Here is a 25,152-nt window from a genome sequence, read left to right on the forward strand (position 1 = left end):
TGCTGGGATTACAGGCGTGAGCCACCACGCATGGCCAGGACCACCCTTTTTAGCTCCTGGGCCCTCCGCTTTATGTCCACTCTTGGCTTGTTGTCAGCGGCAAGGTCCGATGTCTGCTGCGGAGCCCGTGAGTGATGGCCATTCCTGCCGGCATTTGGTGTTGGCACTGACTCTCCTAGCTGTGGGGCCACCTACAGCTGCTTCTGCTTAGCGAATTGTGACATGTACAGATCTTTCCACCTTCCTCACCTTTGGCCACCACTTCCTTTCCCACCCTGGGCCCAGAACGTGTGGGTCATGGGCTGAGTATCAGTGCTCACTTCTGGCCATTGCCCAGCATGGGGAGAATGGGCCTCTTCCACGAGGAGCCTGGCATGGCCCCTGGGGTTACAAGGTGCCATGTCTGCCTCTCCCTGGGTTGGTGGCAAGCTTCGTTTTTATTGGCCCTGCCTCCCGGGTATTCTGCCCAGCAGCCAAGCTTTGAGGCTGACTTTAGCCTTTAGGTGCTTCCAATAAGGAATGCCTCCAAGAGGCATTCTTAGGCCCATGGCAAAAAGTGGTATGGGCTAAGGTGGCCTCTGCATCACGGGTAGGCTGTAGGGGATGAGCATAAAAAGCAGCTGAGGCAGGCAGCCAGCTACCATGGGAAGACAGAGATGGCTGGTCTCCCAGGCCCAGGTTAATCACTGGGGGGCCACTTACTACCATGGCAAGGGCTGTGACGACAGCAGGTGAGCACAGGGTTTGCCTTTCTCCCCGCAGGGGTCTTCACGGCTCCTTATGATGGGCGCTACCTGATCACGGCCACCCTCACCCCCGAGAGAGACGCCTACGTGGAAGCAGTGCTGTCGGTCTCCAACGCCAGCGTGGCCCAGCTGCATACCGCTGGGTACAGGAGAGAGTTCCTGGAATACCACCGCCCTCCAGGAGCTTTGCATACCTGCGGGGGCCCGGGGGCATTCCACCTCATCGTGCACCTGAAGGCGGGAGATGCAGTCAACGTCGTGGTGACTGGGGGCAAGCTGGCTCACACAGACTTTGATGAAATGTACTCCACATTTAGTGGGGTTTTCTTATATCCTTTCCTTTCCCACCTCTAAGGTGGCTGGGGAGATGTCAGGGGAAAGATAGATAGTTGTAAAAACTCTAAAGCTTTAATATATTCGGTTTGTATGTAATGGAAGCACGGGGCTAGAGTTTCCACATAGGCCCCAACATAAAGGCCTTCCCTCGCTGTTGAGGCCACCATGCCTTACTGCATCCAGCCAGGCTGCAGGGAGTGAGGCACACGGTGAACATGGCCACTGACTTTTCTGCCACTCTAACTGGACAACTGGAAGACTTGGAAAGGCCTCCACCTGTATCTACACTCTGAGGGCCCTGGACTGGGCCTGAGCTTGCCACAGAGGCTCCGTCTGACTGTGGGCTGGGAGGAGGGAGGCAGGGGAGAGCCGGTCACGGTGGCTGGTCTTTACTGCAGGGCAGCACTGTGGCCAGCTGTCTGTCTTTACACTGCATGCAGAAGTTTAAACACTGAAGTGCCGAAGTGGCCCGTGCCGCCGCACAGAGACCCCGACTTTAGTTTGGGCTGTTCCACGCTTGGCTCACCATTGCCGCCTGGGACTTAACCTGCTCAGGCGGGCCTTCGCCCAGCTGCAAATAGGGATGCGTTAGAGACTGTTCCCAAAGCTTGTTGGGCTCCTTAAATGGCATGTACAATTTAAGTGCAAAGACAGGGAGTGTCAATAAAGATGGAAAGCCATTTCCAGTTAACTTTTGTTAATTTAAGTGTGGTCCCTTACAGATCGGGAGTTGTTGCTAAAAAGCAAACTGAAGAAATGTTTTGTTTCAAAAAGGGCTACAGAAAGTAACCTTGAGTAAAATTAATCTCAGCTACAAAACTGTTACCCCTCCGCATCCAAGCTATACACTTGGGTTTTGTTTCTGGCTTGTGAAGACGGACCAGATGTGCACGGAGGTCAAGGCCCCATGTCATCTGCAGCTGGAGCGGCTCCTCTGGGGATGCTGCACTCAGATCCCACAGCAGCTGCCCAGGCTAACTTGATCCCTGCTGCTTCACTGCACCAATCTCCAGCAGACACAGCTCGCCGAGCTCTTGGGTTTCTAAGCAGCAGGAAGCTCAACCTAACGCTGGCCACACGCTGACAGCTGAGCCCATCTGAGAACACGGCATCTTCACACAGCGAGACGCCTCCACTGAGGGGAGGCCCGGGAGTATCAATCTGTCACCAGTGGCCACGGAGACCTCTCAGCACCCTTAGTTCAAGGTAGTCTCTGTGGATCAGGTTGGTAACACCTACTGGTTAATCAAGTCCCACTGGGGAAAGGTTTGGACGGTAGAATCAAGAGCTGCAGTTTCCTTGGCCCACAAGATGCTCTTATGCTGTAAAAAAAATGCTTTAAGAATTGTTTGCAAATGAATTTACAGGGTGGCCACTGGACACTTCAGAGTTCCTTATTTACTCCCCCCGCCACAGCTAGGAAGACCAGCAAGAACTAAAGGTTTGCCGTTTTACTATTTAAAATGTGGACCTCTTTGTCCAGGAGCGGGAGGGAGAATGGCATCTCACCCCATTACAACAGCTGGGGAACTGGCTAAAGAGAGCTGTCAGAGAGTATCCTTGGCTGTCCTAGGAATGACTCATGGAAAGCGCCCCAGTGCAGCAGTGTTTTCAGGAAAACCCAGTGGGCACGCGCCATCGCCCTCTCCTCTCCTCTCACGCTCCTTTTGAAAAGACCGCACTCGGCGCCCAAGGGGACGTGCTCAAGAGCTGCAGGGGCAGGGCCCAGGCAAAAGGTGGGTGATGACTACCTGCTGCTTTCCCTACTCCGTAGATGGGTCTGGAACATCGGGTAAAACCCAGTCCTCCTCTCAGTGCATCTCTACTCACCAACAATGGTGAATCTCAGCTCTGTGTATTCAAGACAGGCAAAACAGAATATGCCTCATTATGGCTGGAGCGTGCCTCTACTTTGAGATAAAGCTGGATGACAGGTGGATCCTGGCCCACTTAGGAGACATCTTTAGAAAGGGAAAGGCTGTCTTTTTGTACAGGTAGTAGAACAACAAGGTCAGCTGAGCTTAAGGCTGTGGGGTTCGAAGCAGCCCTTCAAGAAGTCATCACCCCTGAAGTAGTGCCTGCGAGTCAGTCAGAGGCATACCAAACCCTGAGACAGAATCAGGCACAAGTTCACAACTTTTTTTTTTTTTTGGGGGGAGACAGTCCTACTCTGTCGCCCAGGCTGGAGTGCAGTAGCGCGATCTCAGCTCACTGCAACCTCCGCCTCCCGGGTTCAAGCAATTCTCCTACCTCAGCCTCCCGAGTAGCGGGGACTACAGGTGCATGCCGCCACGCCCGGTTAATTTTTTGTATTTTAGTAGAGATGGGGTTTCACCGTGTTGCCCAGGCTGGTCGCGAACTCCTGAGCTCAGCCAATCCGCCCACCTCGGCCTCCCAAAGTGCTGGGATTACAGGTATGAGCCACCACGCCCAGCCAAGTTCACAACTTCTGATATCAAGTTGTTGCTGAGAAAAGGTCAGGACACTTCTTAAGTAGAGAAGGACTGTGACATCCCCTCCAAACCTCCATGTAACACTAACAAATGGCCTCATTTACACGATTAAAAACAAAATGGTATCGTCAATAAATGCAAACCTTAAACTGCATTTGAAATTACTTCCTGGTTGGCATGTTAATCTAGCTTTCCCAGGTGACTAATTTTCTCACAGTTTATGTATTTGCAGCTTGACAGGGAGTATTTGTGATTGGAGTCACTTCGTTCATGCCTGTAAGCTTGGAAACCCAGCTTTGCACATATCCAATCCACACCACAGCCCCTTTCTAAAGATAAATGTGTATTTTCCTTATGCCATCCTATAAACGGGAAAGAAAATGGAAGGACACATGCCAACTCCAATGGGTGCGGGGCAAAACAGAGAGAAGCCACACGCAGGCACGTCCTCAGAGCTCAGGTATGCAAAGTTCACTGCTCCCCTGAAGCCCTCAAAGCTGCTCTGGGTAAAGACCATTTCCTTTGTAACCAATTTCCCTGAGCTCTTCTTTTGCATTCCCAAAGACCCATGGTTGCCATCACGTCATGCAAACAAACATTTCCATCCTGAACACACGCTCCTGTGGAGGGCCTTTGGGATGCAGGGTTCAGCATATGCTGCATCTGGTAAGGGCCCAGCAATCTGAGAGGACAAAACATCACCATGTAAGTAATATATGCGATGTGGTTTTGATCAAAGGTCACTCTGACTCTGTGATGAAAACATCAGGATTGACTGCTAAATCATACCCACCCTAAGGAAGGGTTTAAGGAAAGGTGGGGTGTCCAGGGGCTCTGGACAGGACTCCCAGGGAATTCAAGTGCTTAGGGAGAGGAGGTAAACACAGCCTCCTGGACAGCCGTGAGACCACAGCAGAAGTCACATATGGATGGGTCATTTCCTGGCAGAAGGTACAAAGCAAGAGGTTAGTTCCTGGGGGTGTAGCTGCACTTCTGAAGCCAGGTTTTAAGAATAAGCAACAAAAAGGAGCTCCTGCTGTAGACAAATTTAAGTGTCAGCAAAGATCAAGATGCTAATTTATGGAAATTACCAATTTCTGGCAAGAATCTAGAAAGATGGTTTCAATGTCCCCTGAAGAAAAGAGCCAAATGCATTCAGTTTATGTTATGTTCGTTTATTGTTGTAACATTTTGTTTTGAACATCAAACACTGCACCAAAATATTAGCCATTCATCTTGCAACAATTGCTTTACTGTAACTAAGAGTACTGTACTGATGATGTTTACAATTAACTTTGGACAACTTAAAACTTATTAGTGACATTGCTGTCTAATAATCAAATACTTCATCATAGGCTGAACATAATTATTAAAAGAGCAAAGTTTCCCCTCCCTTTCTTACTTTCAAACAAAACCAAAAGAGTAGTTTTCATCTGGAAAGAGCACTTACTTCAGGGAAAGACTCAATTTTTAACCAGTTTTATTAAACCCTGGAAGCTCTACAACACGGGAAAACATCGAAATTCCCCGGAAGTCTGTTTTTGCCAACTTGTAAAAAGTGAAAGAGCTGACTTCCTTGTTTATTCTTTAAAGGGTTGGCCTGCACCTGCAGTGCCAACTGTGGAAGGGCTGTGTGCAGGCCCCACAGTTGCAGGGGCTGTTCCGGGCCAGCGCTTCCCAGTCATCCAATCTCCTTTGTCCCTCGGTTGTTCTGTGACTTTGAGCAGCTTTCATTTTAGGACATCCCATTTTTAAGTTTTTTCTTTTTCCAGTTGAAAACTATGCAGATGTTTTTAGACAGAGCAAAACACAACACAGTACCCAAAAACGGAGGCAGCCTGCATGCTCCAGGTCTACACGAGCACCTCACAGCCTGACAAGGGGCAGACAGCAACTCACACGGGACGAGCTTCAGCACACAGACAGCAAAGCAAATACGAGACTTAGACTGAACTGCAAAGAGGGAAAGGGCCATTTCACCAATGGAGTAACTGAGAGAATAATGACTTAGAGCCCAATCTGCCTGCCATCTCCCTGAGCCGTCACCCGTCACTGAAGATAGCGCGAGGGTGATGCTTCAACTCACCATCCTAAGGGTTTGTGTACAAACACACTCGAGGGCATCTCTTTCACAGAAAGAACAAATGTCATTTGTACCAAATGGCAATGGATTTTCAGCACAAACTTAATACTTTCCTAACACTACAGCAATAGTAATCATCTACTTTCAGCAAGAGGGACTCCTTTAAACAAGGAAAAAGACTCACATTAATTAGCCTATGTACCCACTGGATCAATCTGCAGCAACAAAGTCTAGTGCTAGCAGACACAGGGACAGAGGGACCAGCTACCCTCAACACAGGGCCAGGAGAGCCGGGTCCTAGACTGAACCCTCTAAGAAGGCCCATGTGTCCAAAGAGAAGAGCTGTCAAGAAAAAGAAACTAGTCAAAAACTCTTTAAAGGACAACCTAAAAAGGATTAAAGATGTATATTAAGATTTTTCAGTACCATACATATGCAAAGAAGTCCTACTATAAGCTCAGTTAAACACACAAAGCTCTCATTCTTCCTCTAAATAGAAGGTAGTCAAGAGGACACACAGATGGCATCTATGAAATAAGGTGGCTGCATGGCTGCTGTACTAGAATTCACAAACTGGGAAGAACTTCATATAAACAGAACCCAGGATCCCTAACCTACTGTAGATAAATAAACTCATTAAACAATTAGTCCTTATCAACTATTTAAGCTGGGGGAAGCTTTGCATGGGAGAAGGCTCATGTGGTCCCTTCTCTGGGAACATGAGCCTTCCTAGGTTTTGCCACTGAGAACTGTGTTTAGGGGATTTCAACATTGTCTCTGCATCCGACAAGCACTAGGAAAATGGCTGAAATCAGTCAGGGACTTTCAACTCTCCAATCTGGAAAAATAACCACCCCTATTTCTCTATCTCTAGATCAGCATTATTTTAGGTGAAGCAAACTAAAACATGTAGAGGTTCCACTACAACGGCAGGGGCATGAAGAGTTGGCCACGAGACCACCCCGAGCGCCAAGCCTGTATCTGCAGATCCCTCTCTGCTCAGGAACCACCACGTCCTGTGTTCTCGCCAATGGAGACCAAGACCTGGGGTTGGTTCTGGGCTCCTGACAGTTCTCTTGATGTTAAGAGTGCAGCTCTGTCAACACTCAGCATACCAAAAGCTCTGGAGCAGCTTATGGCACACCTTTCCCTGGTGCCATCTCTTCAGACACGATGTGAGCTCATTACAACCGCATCAGTAAATGGAGCTACCATGTATATTTTAGTGAAAATACATAGGCACCCGTGTCCCCATGGGGTCTCACAGGGCTAGGCTGGGGACACTGCTCGGGGGGCAGTCTGCTCCATAGGAGCTCCAAGACCCCTCTTTGACGCTGCTTCCACGGGCCCGATTACAGGGTGTGATCCCAAAAGCCAAAGTCACACACTGCTGGCCAGTGCCTTTAAGCAAGCTTCACTGTGCTTCCCTGACAAATCTGAATCACAGAATTTTAGAAATCCTGTCCCAAGGCAAGATGCTTTCCAAAGGCCCACACCAGGCAGCAAGCAGAGGGATTCAGCGCTCTTCCCAGGACCCCACTCAACCGCCTATCTGCATTTCGGAGGCCTCCCTAAAAGCAGAGTTGTTGGGGGCGGGGCGGGGTTTGGTCTGTTTTAAGACCCACCTTCCCACTTTTATTACAGACATCAAATATATACTTGTGAGACCTGTTCTTCTGGTGAGGACTAAGAAATTAAGGGCTCGTGGAGTTGTCACAGATGAGAGGAGGATGCTCTGTGGGGATCTTTCCCCAAAGAGGGCCAGGTTTATGGGACTGGGCTCAGTGGCTCTGGTGCATGGGCCCTGCAGGGGCGGGGGTCCTGCCCAACTTGGCCCACTGGAGCAGCTGACCCCTTCAGTGTAGCAGGAAATGAGGCGACCAGAGAAGAAACGTGCACAGGCAGCTTCAGCCAGCATCACTGACTGGGCCCGCAGCAGTTCAGGGACCCTGACATCTGAAGACAGCCCTGGTTACAGAAGCCACCTCAACTGCCCAGTGGAAACTGGAACACTTCACTGTGTGCAGTGTTTTGGTCCACTCTTTTTTAGCTGCTTTTTTCTTCCTTTAAAATGATGCAATGGAAGGAGGCCCCAGCTCACAGCAGGAAACATGTGTGCGACCCACAAAGGAGGGATCCCAGGCCTCCAGCCCCAGGCCCAGTTCCTCCCTTCTCCTTCCAGGAGCTGAGCTGCAGACCTGCCGAGCCTGAGCAGCTGGCCTGGGAAGGCAAAGGAGGATGGCGGGACCAGCTCCAGAAGCACCCGTCCCCGCTGGGGAAGGCTGGTATCTGAGGTCAGCAGAAGAGCCAGCTGCCTTCCCTTGCTGTGGGGAGGGGGACCAAGCCCTGCCCACCCACTGAGGTGCCGCCTCAAGACAGGTCATCCAGGTCCACTTCAGGGATCGGGTCTCGCCAGTAGCAGAAGGAGCTGAACTCCGGGCAGGGAAAAGCGGAATTCTGCTCCTTACTGAGAAGGGGGAACACATGCTCCACGAGCTCACTCAGCCTGTGATACCTAAGAGAAAGGTTGGGGAAGAGGCACAGGCTATTACTTCAAGATCGGTCAAAGGCACAAGATGGGGGGCTGTGAAGCTGTCACTCAGATTGCTCAGGTGGGCAGGTTCAGAGGCAGGCCTCAGTCCCATCACAGGGCTCAAACTCCCTCTTACAAGTCTAGGATAACCAGAGACCCCTCAAACAGATATTGTGAAAGAGAGATACCCACAGAGGAGATGTAGCTGATCCTTTGATCAGGGCCTGATCTCAAGGATCAGGGGGAAAAGGACAGGGTCTGTCTGTCCCCAACTGTACCCCTGGCTGCAGGGCGCCGGGCTGAGAGCTGAGAATGTACTTACGATGACTTGTTTCCTTTGGTTCTTTCTTGTATTAATTCACCCTTGGGGTTCACGGTGAATATTCTACAGTCTGGAACTCCAACTTGTGTGTAGGCATAGACATCCTGCAGAAGAAAATAGCAAGCGGGTGATTCCAGGGAGGAGAATTCAGGAGATACTTCTCAGGCTCCTTGTGAGCCAGAAGCACTGCACAGACAGACTCGACAGAAAACATGCGGAGGCGGCACAGTGCAGTTGCCACCAAAACTGAGCTTTAGACAAACCTAAACTACAGAGTGGTGCTTGGAGAGTCAGAAAACTTGGGCAGCCACCAAGGGGAAGCCAGGGTCCCTGGCGCAGAAGAGGCCAGAGAGGCCACATCTTCTGCACACCTGAGGCCCGATGGCCCTGCAGAAGGGAGGCAGGTTGGGAAGTGCTAGCGAAGGGCCAGCACTGACCCTGGCTCTGGGGTGATCCAAGGACGCAGCTCAGAACTGCTTAGAAGAGGAGCCGGAGCTGCCTGAGGAAATGGAATGGCAGCCACAGAAACGATGGAAAAGCGTCCTTCGTATAAATTCTGGGGCAGATCTGCACCTGCAGGACCTCCCCAGTTGCTATAGATATTTGGAATAGATCAAGTGAAAACCGAACAAGCAGAACAGATGCCTCATTTTGCTTACAAAACTGCTTTGAGAATTGGGACGTGGCTACACCCCACGAAGTACATCCCTCTGAATTTCACCCACATCAGAACCCAGAGCCCAGGAGATACTCACATTTGGACGGTTTCCAAAGGCAGCATAGAAGGGCTGCTTAGACGGGGCAAACAGATTCTTGATATCATTTAGACACTCAATTTTGAACTTCTCTGGTTTCTTTTCTATCACTTCTCTAAGAAAAAAATACAAATACAATCACCAATCTCAAAATGGTCGTTTTCCCCAGTGAGTGGTCCTAAAATTTTAGTGCTCACAACCACCCAATTTCTTCAACCCTTTGTAACTGGAATCTTTCCTTCTCCTTCTTTGCCAGTCTGATAACTAAGAAAATTTGAGTGATGAAGTTTAGGGAAGGAGAAAACTTGACGGTTCCTAGAACCTGCCTTTCTTCACCAGGCCCGCCACATGGCAAGTGAGCAGTATGTGGTAGGACACCACCAGGGACCAAAGAACTGGGAGAGGCGTGGCGGCTCCAACATCTGACTTCTGTTCCCACACATCCCCCCACCTTGGGCCCAGCCCCGCCCACATGCTGGGGCGGTGGGCAGAGGGCTGCCTGCCGGAGAGGTACCTGTGGAAGGCGGAGAACAAGCTGCTGGGGGACAGCATCAGGGGGCCCCGGGGCAAGATTGTGCCCTTGTCATTGACCCAGTGCAGGTAGCCACGGGTCATGTCGGCCATGCCGATGGCACGAGCCGAGCAGTACAGAAACTTGTAGCCATTCCTGAAAGAAAACACACCCTGTTAGCCCACATGTTCTGGCTAAGGGAAAAGAAAACAAAAAACAAAAAAAAAACCCCACACTTTTCTTTCTTTTTTTTTTGAGTCTCACTCTGTTACCCAGGCTGGAGTGCTGTGGCGCCATCTCGGCTCACTGCAACCTCCACCTCCTGGATTCAAGCAATTCTCCTGCCTCAGCCTCCCAAGTAGCTAGGATTACAGGCATGGGACACCATGCCCGGCTTAATTTTTATATTTTTTAGTAGAGACAGGGTTTCACCATGTTGGCTAGATTGGTCTTAAGCTCCTAACCTCAGGCAACCTGCCCACCTCAGCCTCCCAAAGTGCTGGGATTACAGGTGTGAGCCACCATGCTCAACCCATACTTTTCTTTTAAAAGATCCAAATAAACTTCCTCTCATTTACTGTGAAAACCAAATTCTCAAATTTAGCAGGAAACTGCTTAGGATTATAGAGGTTTCACCTTCCATGGAAAACGTGGGAAAAAAATGGAGGTACAGGCAACTAAGGATTATGTTAAGTTTGTAAGTACTGATATAAAATGTTCAGCATCTAGTCCATGAAAGCCAGATTAGAGGACAGAAAAAACCTTGGACTATCTTTAAATTACCCACTGTGAAGAAAAAATATAGGGGATATTATTTATAAAGGCAATGTGCAAGATGCAAACCACTCCATCAGACAAGAAGCAAAATTATACCCAGGTAACTGACATATTCGTAATTTTCATATTATGGTATTCTCAACTAATGCTGAAGACACTGAGATTCTTCAGATCAATGTAATATATGTATTAGGAACCCACAAACGCCATGGCACGGCTATCTTCCCCTCAAAGGGTGCCCCAAGAGAGAGCAGCCCATGCAAGAACTATTTCCCTCATGCATGCGTGCACTATCTACTCAAAGAAATACAATTTTAAGGCTGGGCGCAATAGCTCATGCCTGTAATCCCAGCACTTTGGGAGGCCGAGGCGGGGAGATCACCTGAGGTTCGGAGTTCAAGACCAGCCTGACCAACATGATGAAACCCCATCTGTACTAAAAATACAAAATTAGCTGGGCATGGTGGCATGTGCCGGTAATCCCAGCTACTCGGGAGACTGAGGCAGAAGAATCACTTGAACCCGGGAGGCGGAGACTGCAGTGAGCCAAGGTCGCGCCATTGCACTTCAGCCTGGGCGACAAGAGCAAAACTCCATCTCAAAAAAAAAAAAAAAAAAAAAAAAAAAAATTTAAAATACCCAGAAAATAAACCAAAAATGAAAATCAGCTATCTTATTAAATTCTAGCTAAAAAAATAACTGTCATTCTAGTTATAGATGTAGGTAGTGCCTGAAACACAGCACTGTGAGGATTAACTGAGATGACACAGGTTCGATGCCAATGCCAGGTGCACACGGCTCCCACACCATCAACAGGAAAGGAGTGAGGAAGAGCGGGAATGCTTCAGCATAAACACATGACTCATGTGGACTGAAGACTTACACCATTGTTCTATAGTTCTTAAAGCAAGCTTCCAGCTCACCAGAGCGAGTTAACGTGGGGAGGGTACCTACTCATTGATGGAATGGTAGAGCTTTGCTATACCCTGGTGGGTCCAGTCTTTGCCCAGCTGTGGGAGAATCTGTCCCAAAGCATCCGACCTAAGAAGACGGTAGAAACAGGAAAAGCTATCAGGAATCAAACACATACAGCGTTTTCCTATTTGGTTGACTATCAGCTGCCAATAACTAATTGGTGGCGGGACACTCTTGAAAGGGGATTTAATCACAGCTTCAAGCAACTGCAAGGCCATCCCATGCAAACGCACCCACTGAGGTGCTTCTGAAAGCGGAGTCTCACGAGCGCCAGATGTGTGTGTTCGGAGGTAACTGACTGCCACACTTTCTCTTTTCCTCCGCCCCAATGTCAAGGGGCTTGTTTTCATATCAGAATTGAAACCAAATAACTAATCTTTCCAAAAGTGATTTTTGACATTTGTTATGCACCCTCACCATCTCCTCCATGCAAAAAAATGACCCCATGTGGACTGTACTGGGGACGCCTCAGAGCATATGGCTTATAAAATGCCTTGGCTGAGGGCTTCGAGCCCCAGGTGAGGAACTCCCCACCACACACTGCCTGCCCCTCCCTGAGCACGGGGCTGTTCCTTGCCACCCACCTGAAGGATTGAGCTTACTTGGTTATTGTCCCATCAATATCAGAAATGATGATCTTGTCATTCCAGTTCCACAGGTAAATGGTCCCTGCACAGCGACAGGTGCCTTGATACTGGGTTGTAATACTAAACACAACATCATTTGGGCCATCGTGGAGCTTCAGTTTTGCCTTTTAAAAAAGCATAAGAATAAAGAAAATCAGCTGAAAACATAGTTTGAAACGATTTAAAAATTTACAGAACAACTGGTGTCTCGGAATCCCAACAAGAGGCAGGATGGTTTCCGGGGTCTTAGACACAGCCCACCCTGTGCCCAGCGCAGCTGACAATGCTGAGGGAGCCACTGCCTGAACAGTATTTTGGGGTTCCAGGGACTTCTCTGAACACCCACAAAGCAAAAGGTCTACTACTCTTACTCCACACCTGAGAATTACTGCTTTAGCCACAGCCTGCTCTGGTCCCAGCAAGACCTTTTCATACCGAAAATGGGTCAAAGGCAGGGTGTAAAATAAGAGGAGAAATTGTGTCTAAAATGTCATTTCTCTATTGCTGTGGCTCCTAAGAGACAGTACCTGGCTCAGCGCTGGGTTAGCTGTGTACGACTGACTCTCAAGAGATGGAGGAAGGAGGTCTGGGGTGGGTGGCAGGACCCAAGCCACAGGTTCCCCAGGTGGGCCTGATAGCTCTTGGGGGCGGCGGTCGTGGTTCCACTGTGGATAGGCATTGACACGACCATGCCGTGTGGCGTGTATGCAGCTGGGGACGTGTGGACAGAAGAGGATGTGCATCAAATTAAACCATTACTAAAATAAGTCCTACTGGACAACACAGATCATGCAAGACTCACGATCTGGTCTGAGGAGAGGCGGAGAGACTTCTTATATGAAGTTGTGCTGCCGTGGCTCAGGGGCTCTGTGGGGATGGGGTCCACTGTGATGGATTCTTCGAGCTCCTGTGATCCCTCGTCACTCGAGGAGTCATTCTCGGCCGGCCTGTTCAACATTAGCCCAGTTACGGAAGAGGCAGCAGGGCATTTTATTGATGAGAGCTTTTCATTTAGGATCAAGAAAATAAAGATATCCTAAATCTTTTCTAGGAATGGGTAGAGTTATCCCTTCTGCCATTCTCCCATATCCACAGCTCTGTACGCCTGAAATATTCATATTGTTAACTGATAAGGCCACTTTCATAACTGGCAAGCACTTACTTTCTGACTATGACCTGCTATTTTCTGCTATGCCCAGTGAATGCTAGAAGGTCTACTGACTCTTGTTGAAGAGGGTATGTATGTTTCACAAGGCACAAATCAAAGAAAACATAATCGCTTACAATGATTTAACAAACTCCGGCTGGGTGCGGTGCCTCACACCTGTAATCCCAACACTTTGGGAGGCCGAGTTAGGAGGACACCTTGAGCCCAGGAGTTTGAGACCAGCCTGGGCAACATAGGGAGACCCAGTTTCTACGGAACATTTAAAAATTAGCCAGGGGTAGTGACACTTGTCTGTGGTCCTAACTACTTGGGAGGCTGAGGCAGGAGGACTGCTTGAGCCCAGGAGTTTGAGACCAGCCTGGGCAACACAGCAAGACCCTGTCTCTACAAAATACAAATTTAAAAATTAGCCAGGCATGGTGTCCCACACCTGTAGTCCCAGCTACTTAGGAGGCCGAGGCAGGATTGTATGAGCCGAGGAGCTATGATTATGCCATTGCACCCCAGCCTGAGTGACACAGTGAGACTCTAGAAAAAAACAAAAACTAGTAAGAAAAATTTTAGACACCCCTTAAAAGATATAGGATGGGGGGCGGTAAGGGGCAAGAAAATAAACCCTCAGCCTTAGACACTAAATGAGACAGCCAAGGGCTGGGAGAAGCAAGCATGCACTGGCCGGGGGAGGTGGACAGGCAGAAGCAGGAACACGGCGTATCGCGAGCAACTCCTCTCAGGGCTGCTCACCCTAACTGTCCAAAGAATGCTGTTTCTTCCAGGAAAGGAAACCCACCCAAGCCAACCTGGAGATTATTTTGTATGTCTCCCTTTGGCTCCGGATGGGATGCAGGGGGAGCAGAGGCACCTGGGCCAACATGGCTGAAGCGTTCCTCACGGCCCCTTCCCATACGCTGGCGCCACGGCTCCACAAGGAGGCAGGGTATTTATTTTTCTAAGCTGGTGATGTTTTTTAGAAAAGCAGTTGTCATCTGCTGAGTGGCACAAATATATCACAGCATGTAGTATCTGCAGAAGATACTCCCAAGAACTAAACAAGCTGCCAAAATCAACTTAGAAGTAATGGCCCTGCTAGAGGGCCTGAGTGCTATGAGCCGGGCAGAGGACAGGGCACCCACCTGGCACCGGCCGGCTCCTTGGAGCTGGATGGCAGGTCACTGGCTGGCGGTGCCTCAGATTTTCCCTCCTTGGATTCTGGCAGCTGTAACAGCAAGATGATAATGGCAACATGCAATTTTTTCCCTACAGATAAGCCAAGTTCATCAGCAGCCCTCTCTAGGAAAGAACACAACTGCCTTCTGAACCCACAACTTAAAAATGCTCAAAAACCAGACTTTCTCTATTCTGAGCCAAAGAATTAGAAACCTAAGACAGAAGTCATGTGCTTCTATGCAAATCACTGTCCCTACAGACCCAGAAGGAAAACATTTTAAGAGCACCATTTCAAGTCACAAAACATAATACAAGCGACCCAAACTTGTTAGGTCCCCAGCTTCCTTCTCCTCCTGGGAGTAACTCACCACGTGCAGAAGGGACTGAAAGGCAGCCCCCTTGCTGACGTGGACATGAACTTGGTTCAGGCAAGACTTCCCTTCTGACATTTGAAAAACAGGTGAGAACTCCCTGAACCCTCTTTTTCAGAAGGTGTTGGGGAAAAAAAGACTTGCTCTGCTGCTTGTTTAGTATGGTTCTCTGGATGAATTTCTATGGAGACCTGGTGGAACAGATTCTGGTTATTTGCATCTGGAACTATGCAGGCAGACGATAACCTTCTGCTCCTATCTGATAGGTAATACAGTGAAGCAGAAAGAGCACAGGCTCTGGAGTCAGACTCAAGGTCTTGCCCCAGCTCCGTCTCTCACCAGTTATGTGACTTCGTGAAGCACCCAAGTTTCCTTACCTGTGAAATGGCAACTCGAACATCTCTAGTGCTGAGCTACAGTAAAGGACCACTTGGGACAACACCTGCACGTCCTAAGTGCTCAAAAATGGAAACTGCTATATGGTAAAATAGCCCTATACAGTCCAAATTCCTGTGCCTGACAAAAAGGTTTTTTGAATAAATGAAAGATTCATTTCTTTCAGCCCACGGAAACAATGACCTCTAGGTCTGTTACCTGTTTGGTCATGCTTTCTCTCTTTCGCCAAAACCACCAGCGACCAGATTTCTTTGGCATCTTGTCTTTCACCCAGGACTCAACTGTGGCCTGAAAACAACCAACCTGGGTTAGTCTGGGCAATCTACTGGCCACACAGCACCTACCTTCTATGCTAGCCTGAAGGACGGGGCCTTACTATGGAATGTGAGAACGTGACCGATGCTCTCTTCACACCTCCCAGATTCCTCTAGCGTTTTTAACACCTCTGAGAGACAGACCCCGTCCTGCTTTCATGGCAGCACAGCTCTGTGGCATGAGACCAGGCGGTCTGCTATGTAGGACCTTAGGGGCTGACAGGTGGGCAAATCTCATTTATCTATCTTTGGAAAATGTGGTTCTCATGAGTTAAGAGGACCAACTAGGCTGATGATGTCTTCTTGGGGGACAGATTAAAAACCAATTGTGAGTTTGTATATAACAGGTATGTTAGCCACCATCTGCCCTAACCACACTGATGTCAAGCTTCTCTTGGCTACATCACCTTCTTCTTGCTGCTTCTTCCCATATTAATGGGAGAAAAAGTTTTTTTCATTCATTCCATATTTAACTTATGATTAGTAAAATCTCTCAACTTTTACAGACCATCAGAAACTAGTATTTATGTCTAATAAAAATGAAATAAAGAAGTGGCAGCCCTGCTAATTTCCCAGAGTTTGGGCATGAGATATTTTTAGTGGGTACATATGACTTTGATCTTTTATATTAAATATTAAGCTCAAGTAAAACTTTGAATAGTACCCAGTTCAGAAATATGCACATATGGATTTGTGTAAGTACTAGACACTGCGGATGCTTTCGGAAAGGCAGCAGATGGTGGATCGCCTCACCTTAGGCAAGCTCTTCTGGAATACTTGCAAGCTAAGGATCATGGGAGCTGCCAAAGCCCAGTTATAGTAACTGTGAGAAACAAAAATTGTGCAAAACCATTACACAGTGAAAGTGAGCAAGAGAGAGGGGAGGGAATCAGGGAGGGAGGGAGGAGGGAAGTGACATATAAAATTGCTTATTCTTTTCAATAAAGATGATCAGCTGAATTTTTTGTCACATGAATAACCTTCGCTTCAAGCACAACTTCTCTGAACAGAGAAGCCGTAAAATCTATCAAACAGAGTAACATTTCAATGCTTCTTTTAAAAATAAAATTGAAGCTTTACTTTCACTTCAAAGTCATTGCCCACTGGCTAATTTATATGAGATGACAAGTTTTATAAGAAGGAACACTTTTATAAGTAACAGTTAAAAATGGCACTTGTAAAAAAACTGCAAGAGTATTTAACAATTATAAAAGCAGGAGTATTTACCGATTATATATCCTTATTACAAGGTTAGGATTGTCTATAAGTCCAGGGTTTTCTGCAAATTCGTGATAAGTAATGATATGCTCCATGAATTTTTCTGCAATGTAAAATAATAATCAATTTGGTTAGAGATTACATAAATCCCTATATGAGATTATAATACTCTCTGCATTGCAGAAATTGAAGGCTAAAATCATCTGTCTAAAAAAACTAATTTTTGAATATTCATCAAAAGCAAAATGTCAGACGCTTTTTTTCCCCAGGACAAGAAAGAACACTTCTTTTCTATTCTCCTTTTCCACTGTCTCCCAGTGAAAACAAACAAACTAGTAAAAAGGGACATGACAGAGACTTTCAAAAAAAATACATACAGATGTGGCTAGAGAGGGACGGAAGACAGACACAGAAAGACAGACAGACACACACACACGAAAACTGTCGAAGTTCTATTCTCAGAGGAAGAAACTTTACTGACAGGCAACGGCATAACTGGGGAATATTCATAGGGGTCTTACAGCTTTAGCAAGCTACATTATATCAAAACATATCTTAAAATTGTTTGGGCCAGGCACAGTGGCTCACACCTATAATTCCAACACTCTGGGAGGCCGATGTGGGCCGATCACTTGAGGTCAGGAGTTAGGGACTAGCCTGGCCAATACGGTGAAAACCCATCTCTACTAAAAATACAAAAATAAGGCGGGTATGGTGGTGCCAACCTGTAATTCCAGCTACTTGGGAGGCTGAGGCAGGCGTGACAATCACTTGAACCCAGGAGATGGAGGTTGCAGTGAGCTGAGATGGTGCCACTGCACTCCAGCCTGGGTGACAGAGCAAGGCTCTGTCTTAAATAATAAAAACAACAACAAAAATTACATGTTACAATTGCTTGGAGAATTAAAAAAACAAAACAAGGCAAAACAAAAAAACCTAGAATTTGGCTCAAGGTCTGTGAAATAAATCCCAAGTTCTTGCAGAGTGAATGAGGGCTTCCCATGAATTTTTGTACCCTGTTCCTAAACCTGTATTCTCCTAGATCTAGGCTAACAGAGAAACTGCTCACTTGGATTGTTTCTCCAGGTAATGTGTGTATTACTTACATTTACTTGTCATTTCTGCCTCTTCCAATAAACTCTACTAGACTAAGTCACCAATATTTAAAACAAAGGTGTAACTTTTATATTTTACCTACATTTTGTATTTCGCATTCCCTCGCATATAATTTTTTAAACTGAACATTTAAGAGGATTACAGAAAGAATGTGACCTATTTAACTTAGTCCCTAGAATGAACCATTGGCCATAACACACTTTAAATTTCTTGCAAAATATAAAGCAAACAAACAATGAAGAGACAGGGAAGAGGCATAATGAGCTTCCTGTGACCCTGGAAAGGAAAGACTTCAGGAACACATGGTCCTGAGCCTCTGGCCATGCAGTCTGCCACATCACACCTTCAGTTCCTCTAAGGGAGAGGGAAGACAAAAGATGACACTAGTCACGGAAAGAAAATTTTCCCTTAGAAGAAAATCATACAGGGGCCACAGGCCAAACTGAGAAATACTAAGAGTTCAGTTTTAAAAGGAAGGTTAAAAAAAAATGCTGATGAATTGAGGACGGATGCACATGGCACTCAGCCCAGCCTATAGGCATCCTGACATGTCTGCTAAACTCCCTCCTGATTCCTGAGCAAGCTTTACTCTCGTAGGCCAACCCTCCAGCCTTATACAGAAAGTAATCCTCCTAATTTTTGCCAGAAAGACCACGTACTCAGTGGACAATCAATTTTCTACAACTTCAGGGCCCTATATTCATGTCTAAGGCCCAGTGCTTTCCAGAAGGGCAGCTGGGCCCCAGTTCCACAAATGTTTCTGTAACTTTACAGATGAGAAAACTGGTGCAGTGTGATGATCGCACCCTGGCAGCTCAGAAAACAGGGCGGCCTGATAACTCCCAACCTCTTAATTTGAAATTAGAGCCTTTAAGGGCACACTACCTCAAAGCCACTCCATAAAGAGGTGTCAATTAAGACCTTAAGTGAGGGTATAAGGGTCTGACATTACAGAACATACCTGTTACCTGCACAAGATCCCTAAAGAATGTAAATATCCTGAAATGGCTACACGGTAAGTTTTAACCAAGTGATGACCAGATTGCTCTCTGAAATGAAGATGGGGCACAAACACCCAACGTACCTTTTGAAATTTCTCCATTTTCACTGAGGCCCCCGCAAAGGGAGAGGGTAACGTCAGGCAAGTCCATGGCAGAATCTGAGAGGCACTCGGTGCCGCTATCTGCAGCTGCGCTTCCCACGGACTGTGGGGACTGGGAGCCAGAGAGTGTGTCAGACTCGGGCCACTGCCTGGAACCGGGCTCCGATTCACTGTGGACAGGGGATGGGGAAAAGATGTGCTTTATTACAACTCCTTGAATTCCTAGTTTACTGCATGGTTCTCTGGGGGCTCAAACCAAATAACACATCCGCTAAAAAGAACGGATGGACCTACAATCAGGCATAACTTTTCTTAGATAGGGTTTAGAATCATATCATAAATGACATGAAAGATAACCTAATATAGTACCAGTGAGAAATTAACTGTGAATATAGTAAATACGTCACAAAATCACCACGGTCATTCACAATAATGCAAACATTTCAACTGTGGCCTTTCTGATTTTTAATTAAAGGAGTAAAATAGTTATAAGTATTTATTTACATTTCCATGATGAAAATGACAGGGTAATTAAGAAAATCTGCTGTTTGGAAACCTTTGATCCTAACGTCCTAGAAAAAGCTGTGGCACTTTATACATCCTGTAGAAAATTACTGTAGTCCAAGGCTATATTCTTTAAAACCAAATCTTTTCTAAGTTCGCCTATTACCTCACAAAGAAGGAAGGAGAAATTAAACGAGCAAATTCTCTAGAGGCAAGACCCACCTAGAAAAAGAAATGTATTCAGAAATAAACTGGATGTAACTGTTATTCCAGGAGCTAAAGATGAGGTTACTGAATATTTTCATTTTTCAAGATAAGGCACAGAAGCCAGGTTTCAGAAGGTGATCAAGGGAAACCTTATGCAATGAAGTGTAAATTTGAGAAAGAATAATCATGAATGGCACAGCACCTTAAGTCTCACAGTCCCCAATGCTTACTACTCTATACCCTTTGAATAGGTATTTAATGTCACATTTGAGATATTGAGAATTTTCAAATTCACTTATTTTATTCAAAAAGCCAGTATTTTTATGTGAATTAAAAAAACAGTGACCCAGAGGTTTACTGGCTCTTTCAAACAAATCTCATCTTTGAGCAGTAGGTGGCAGCAGACTACAGATTATGTTTTAACTAGGTAACAGTTTCAAAACCTGTTTCCCATTTGAATCAACAAAAAAATTCAGGTTTTTGGATATTTTTTCCTCTTAATAGCCATGCACACTCATACCCACAAAATTGAGATTAACTGGACTGACAGAATGTTCTCACTGGAAACACAAAGTCAGCAGAACTGTTGTTATACTGGGAGTGAGGGGCAAGGCCAACCCTTCTGTGTTCACCACACCTGTCTCCTCTTTCTCCGGGGCACACGGCGAGGCCCCCTTGCAGTCAGGTGGGGCCACGTGAGCACATGACTGAGCCGTGAATATGGACGGAAGGCATACATGGTGCCCCTCCCCAGGGGCCCTCTCCTATGCGATGCTCATTCCTTTCTCTGCTGCCAGTAAACTCTGGACTCTGAGACCCTATGGGGATGGGAGAGCCTCAAGGTGAAAGGAGCCTGTGTTCCTGAATCCCTGTGGGCAAGGCCTCCCCCTAAACACCAACACAGAGCATTCTTCACAGGGGCAAGAAACAAAATTCCATCGTGGTAGGCCAACGAGATCAGGAGTTCCACCTCTACAGCAGCTAGTGTTACCCCAACCAGTAACAACAACATCTACACACATGGGGATGCCGTCTGACTCAGGATGCCACCAAATACAAAAGTGTGTGATTTATATTAAAGTTTAGTGATAATTACAAATACTGTAAATTTGGTAATGAAGATGCTAAGGATCATGACATGACTAATGCTTACATGGATTACAAGAGTCTCACTCACTATCTTTAAATATTTATGAAATGTTTCAAGAAATAGTTAATGAGGTAAGAAGCTTACTTAGTGCATGGACAGTGACTGTGAACAGTTAAATTACAGTAGAGTGGAGTAAGGTATCATCACCTTAGTTACTCTCCTCACTTTTTAAAAGAGAAACTAAGACATATACCGAAGGAATACCAATATAAATAAATGATTAAGGCCTGGGAAATGTGGGGGGAAAAGTGGTAATTCTATGACAGCTTATATTTGAACTTTCCTACTGTTAAAATAAAGCCGTTTCAGTTTTTTCACCTTAAAAAAATCCAACTATTACTTCAAATGAAGTAGATATGTTGAGATAAATTTAGGACAGAGCTAGAAAGGAGTTTTAAGAACTTTCCCAAAATACCTGTAAAAAATTTAAATAGCTTTATATCAATCCCATCTTTCTATTCCAAATAAAAAACAAAATATACTTTTCAGTAATTCATTTACAAGTGTTTAATTATGTGTGCCTATGGCTCAGTATATTCAAGTCATACTTTCCGTGGAGAAAAGTTGTTTTTTTCTAACCACAGAGTAGCAGTTTAACAGAATTCCCCTAAGAGTAGAAATGAACTTGGGAAGGCAGTCCAAGTGTATCATATTTGAGGCCCATATTTGAAGTAATTCAAAGGGAAAATGGTGCGGGACAGTGAGGGAGGCTGGGTGGCAGCTGTGGAGCTGCAGGGGATGTGGGGACACGGGGCGCGGGGGCAGTGCCCCACCAGACCCAGACCCGGTTCAGAAAAGGCTCAGGATCTCAGACTCCCAAGAAGTGAACACATTCTTTGGAAAACATTTTCAAATAAAGATGTGTTTCTTTTAAAACACATAATAAAATAAATGCTAAAAAATTTTCCCAAGCATGTTGAGTTTGTATTAACCACTACAGGAAATGCTAATCAGAAGTCATATACCCTTATGTAGGTTTAACTAGTATATCTCTCCTCATTGTATTGAAAATGTCTTCGTAAGTAATTATTAATTTCAAGTCACTATATTGAAATAAGACACGCGCTATTTCTAAATTTTCCAAAACCTGAAGCCATCATCAGATTTAGCTAAAGGACACCATCATCTTGTTCCTTTTTCCTGAGATGAAATGTTTTACTCTAGAAATAACTAGACTATTTCAGAGCTGTCCTTCAATAAATAAGGACCACTCTACCTTTTAGGGAAATAAAGAGCTGCAACTTCAGGTTCTAGACCCTTTAAGTCATCAAGGTAAATATCATCAGGTCCCTGGTGTTGGCTTCTTTTGTGAACACCTGTTTAAAAAAAAAATCAGAGGTAAGAATTTAGTTATTCTTCATTTACAGCTCTGCAAAACACACGCACGTTTGCAAACAGTAAGAGTGACAAGCAGGATTTGAATAGGGTTTTAATTTTAAAGGTGTCAACCAGCCTTTTTACTTAGGTTGGTTCCCAGCCATCCATGCCAATAGAAGAGAAGTTCAGTGCTCCATACATATACTTTGATTTTACTCATTCTCTCATTTGCTGTTAATTGAGTAATACTAGCCCCTAAATAATTTATATTTTAATGGTGAAGTCTTTTTTGTATTTATAGGTCTAAGAACAAGCATGACCAAACTTAAGGCAACCACCTGCATTGGGAACGAGGGCATTACTCTAAAACCATGAAGGCAAGGTTGTCTGGGCACAGGATATTCACATGGTGCCCAAGTATCCACCCTGCATTACCTTCTAACTACAAAAGGACAAAAAATACTTCACAATGGATAGATGTGGCAGATAACATCTTAAACAATAATCACGTTCAGCATTACTATTAGTGGTCATCATGAGATACAATATGAGTACCCAATACATGCAATAAACTAATCTTCAATTCAAACAATAACTCTAAGCCTCTAGACCTGTACTGCCCACTCTAGTGACCACCAGCCACATGTGGCTACTGAGCATTTAAACTGTTGCTAAAGTGAGGTACACAAAATGTTAAAAATGCGTAAAACACACTAAGATACTTCCTTAATAATTTTATATTGATTACATATTAAAATTATATTTTGGATTTATTGGCTTAGATGAAATATATCACTAAACTTAATTTCACCTTATTTTACTTCCTTAAAAGTGGCAATGAGATGATTCAAAATTACACATGTGATTCATATTCCATTTCTAGTGGACAGTAAGTTCTAGAGCTAACTCCCAGTTAAGAAAATATAGGAATGTCACCTTCAAAAAAACAATCAGACAAATCCAGAACGTGAGAGAGCCTAGAAGACACTGGCTGAGCTCTTTAAAAGGTTACTATCACGGGTGTAGAGAGGGCATGAGGGTGTGGATGGGTGTAGGAGAGAGAGTTCTAAAATAAAAAAGATTACAAGAAACATAAAAATCAAATGCAACATGTGAAACCTGATGCAATTTTGGCTTGGGAAACAGGCCAGCTAAAAAAATATTCTTGGTACAATTAGGGAAATGTAAACATGAATTCTTCAAGATGACAATAGTACTGGGGCTATGCAGAGAATGTTCACATTCTTAGAAGGTATATCCTGGCATATCTAAGAGTGAAATGTCATGCCTGCAATTTGTTTTCAAATGTTTTATTAATAAAACACTGTATGTGGATGAATGGAGAGATGTAGGGAGAGAGGGGTTGAGGAGAGAGGGAGGGCAAAAATGTATAATAAAAAGTAGAGGGGAAAAAGAATGAGGCCAAAAGAATAGTAAAAACCACTCAGGGTTCCTGTCTCTAGTCAGATCCTGCACTGTGTGCTAAGAACAGGAGTCATTAGTTCCAAAAACAAAGCATTCATCCTAAAAGAACTGGATTTCCCCCCTTAACATTTCTTAGAGCATAACAAGTGGCTACAGGCCTTTGGTGGAAGAGCAGGTGCCAAGTTAAGCCACCATTCGCTAGATGGTTTTATCTGACCACCAACACCTTCGACAGTCACATTCTTTCATTTTAGATAAATTATTTCTGAGTGAACTTGAAGGTCCATACCTAATATATATTAAGTTGGTTTATAATTACCTAATCTTTGGTGCTAGAATTTTTTTTTAATTGAAATAGGTAATTGGCTATATATGATGTTGGGTAATTTTAGAGAAGGTTTCACACTTTCCTAAAAATAGGATCCAAGGCCAGAGTTCAGAATATGTATGTTCTGACCCACTGTACCAAGTATCGATGGTTGGCTTTTTATTTTCAAATAGTAAGGATGTTCTGATTTATTAAACTTGTGTTCCAAAAGTGAGGAAGAACTGTTGAACCAAGAGTTGGATGTTTTCTCTACTTATTTTGAGACAGGGTCTCACTCTGTCACATGGGTTAGAGTGCAGTGGTGCAATCACAGCTCACTGCAGTCGTGACCTCCCTGGGCTCAGGTGATTAGAATAACTTCTTAAGGTAATTTTTATTTTTTCTTATTATTTTTGAGACAGGGTCTCACTCTATCACCCAGGCTGGAATGGAGTGGCTTCATCTTGGCTCATTGCAACCTCTGCCCCAGGGCTCAAGCGATCTTCCCACCTCAGCCTCCCAAGTAGCTGGGACCACAGATGAACGCCACCATGCCAGGCTCAGTTTTTTATGTTTGATAGAGACAGGGTTTCACTATGTTGCCCAGGCTGATCTCGAAATCCTGAGCTCAAGTGATCTGTCCACCTCAGCTTCCTAAGTACTGGGATTACAGGTGTGAGCCACTGCACCTAGCCTTCTACCTATTTTAGAGGGAAATAATCAGCAAAAGAAAGCACATACTCATAATCATAATTAGTATGCATTGATTTTTATCTGATATTACTGCTAAAAAACCTACCTAATTTAGCCTCAGCTAAGATGTTTCAAGTGAAAACATTTTTTCTCTATTCTAATTTTTTAAGATTCTACTTCACTTTACTGACATACCTTATCAATAAAGTGGTTAATTTTACTCATCAATTGATTACAACTCATTATTTGTTTTCTCAGTAAATGCTTCTCAAGAACCCACTGAGTAGCAACAGTCAAGAGACAGCAGTGTGCAAGTCAGGCCCTGCTCCAACTGGACTTTCCAGGGGGACGCCATGGAAAGCAATTGTAAGAAAGTGAGTGACGGGCCTGGGCACGGTGGCTCACACCTGTAATCCCAGCACTTTGGGAGGCCGAGGTGGGCAGATCACCTGAGGTCAGGAGTTTGAGACCAGCCTGGCCAACATGGTGAAATGCCATCTCTATTAAAAATACAAAAAATCAGCCGGGGATGGTGGTGTGTGCCTGTAACCCCAGCTACTCAGAAGGCTGAGGCAGGAGA

General features: G+C 45.4%; 2 protein-coding genes across 10 annotated transcripts in view, besides 1 other annotated feature; one reads left to right on the forward strand and one right to left on the reverse strand.

Moving 5' to 3' along the window:
- EMILIN2 (elastin microfibril interfacer 2) overlaps window positions 1–3,699 on the forward strand; it is a 69,772-nt gene extending 66,073 nt beyond the window's left edge. For both annotated transcript variants that reach the window (XM_047437884.1, NM_032048.3), the window contains exon 8: window positions 763–3,699. In XM_047437884.1, coding sequence (XP_047293840.1) covers window positions 763–1,100 — 338 coding nt within the window. In that variant the 3' untranslated portion in view covers window positions 1,101–3,699. The remainder of the gene's footprint in view (window positions 1–762) is intronic.
- The window catches only part of LPIN2 (lipin 2), a 96,151-nt gene continuing 75,688 nt past the window's right edge, over window positions 4,690–25,152 (reverse strand). For 5 of the 8 annotated variants that reach the window (XM_047437958.1, NM_014646.2, XM_005258177.5 and 2 more), the window contains 13 exons: window positions 22,047–22,146; window positions 18,952–19,139; window positions 16,761–16,854; window positions 16,287–16,356; window positions 15,418–15,507; window positions 14,419–14,501; window positions 12,920–13,064; window positions 12,094–12,242; window positions 11,471–11,557; window positions 9,743–9,895; window positions 9,229–9,343; window positions 8,474–8,577; window positions 4,690–8,133 (listed from right to left, as the gene is read on the reverse strand). In XM_047437958.1, coding sequence (XP_047293914.1) covers window positions 7,989–8,133; window positions 8,474–8,577; window positions 9,229–9,343; window positions 9,743–9,895; window positions 11,471–11,557; window positions 12,094–12,242; window positions 12,920–13,064; window positions 14,419–14,501; window positions 15,418–15,507; window positions 16,287–16,356; window positions 16,761–16,854; window positions 18,952–19,139; window positions 22,047–22,146 — 1,523 coding nt within the window. In that variant the 3' untranslated portion in view covers window positions 4,690–7,988. Of the gene's footprint in view, window positions 8,134–8,473; window positions 8,578–9,228; window positions 9,344–9,742; window positions 9,896–11,470; window positions 11,558–12,093; window positions 12,243–12,919; window positions 13,065–14,418; window positions 14,502–15,417; window positions 15,508–16,286; window positions 16,357–16,760; window positions 16,855–18,951; window positions 19,140–22,046; window positions 22,147–25,152 lie in introns of those variants that run through there. The other 3 variants (NM_001375808.2, NM_001375809.1, XR_935074.3) reach the window with 2 other exon arrangements.
- Window positions 6,971–7,702: an enhancer, noted in NCBI's record as "H3K27ac-H3K4me1 hESC enhancer chr18:2919273-2920004 (GRCh37/hg19 assembly coordinates)". NCBI's record gives its function as "activates a minimal SCP1, AML or CMV promoter by ChIP-STARR-seq in naive H9 embryonic stem cells {active_cell/tissue: H9 hESC(naive)}" and the evidence as "EXISTENCE:reporter gene assay evidence [ECO:0000049][PMID:30033119]".

Source organism: Homo sapiens, chromosome 18 (assembly GCF_000001405.40).
Source record: "Homo sapiens chromosome 18, GRCh38.p14 Primary Assembly".
Lineage (NCBI taxonomy): Eukaryota > Metazoa > Chordata > Mammalia > Primates > Hominidae > Homo > Homo sapiens.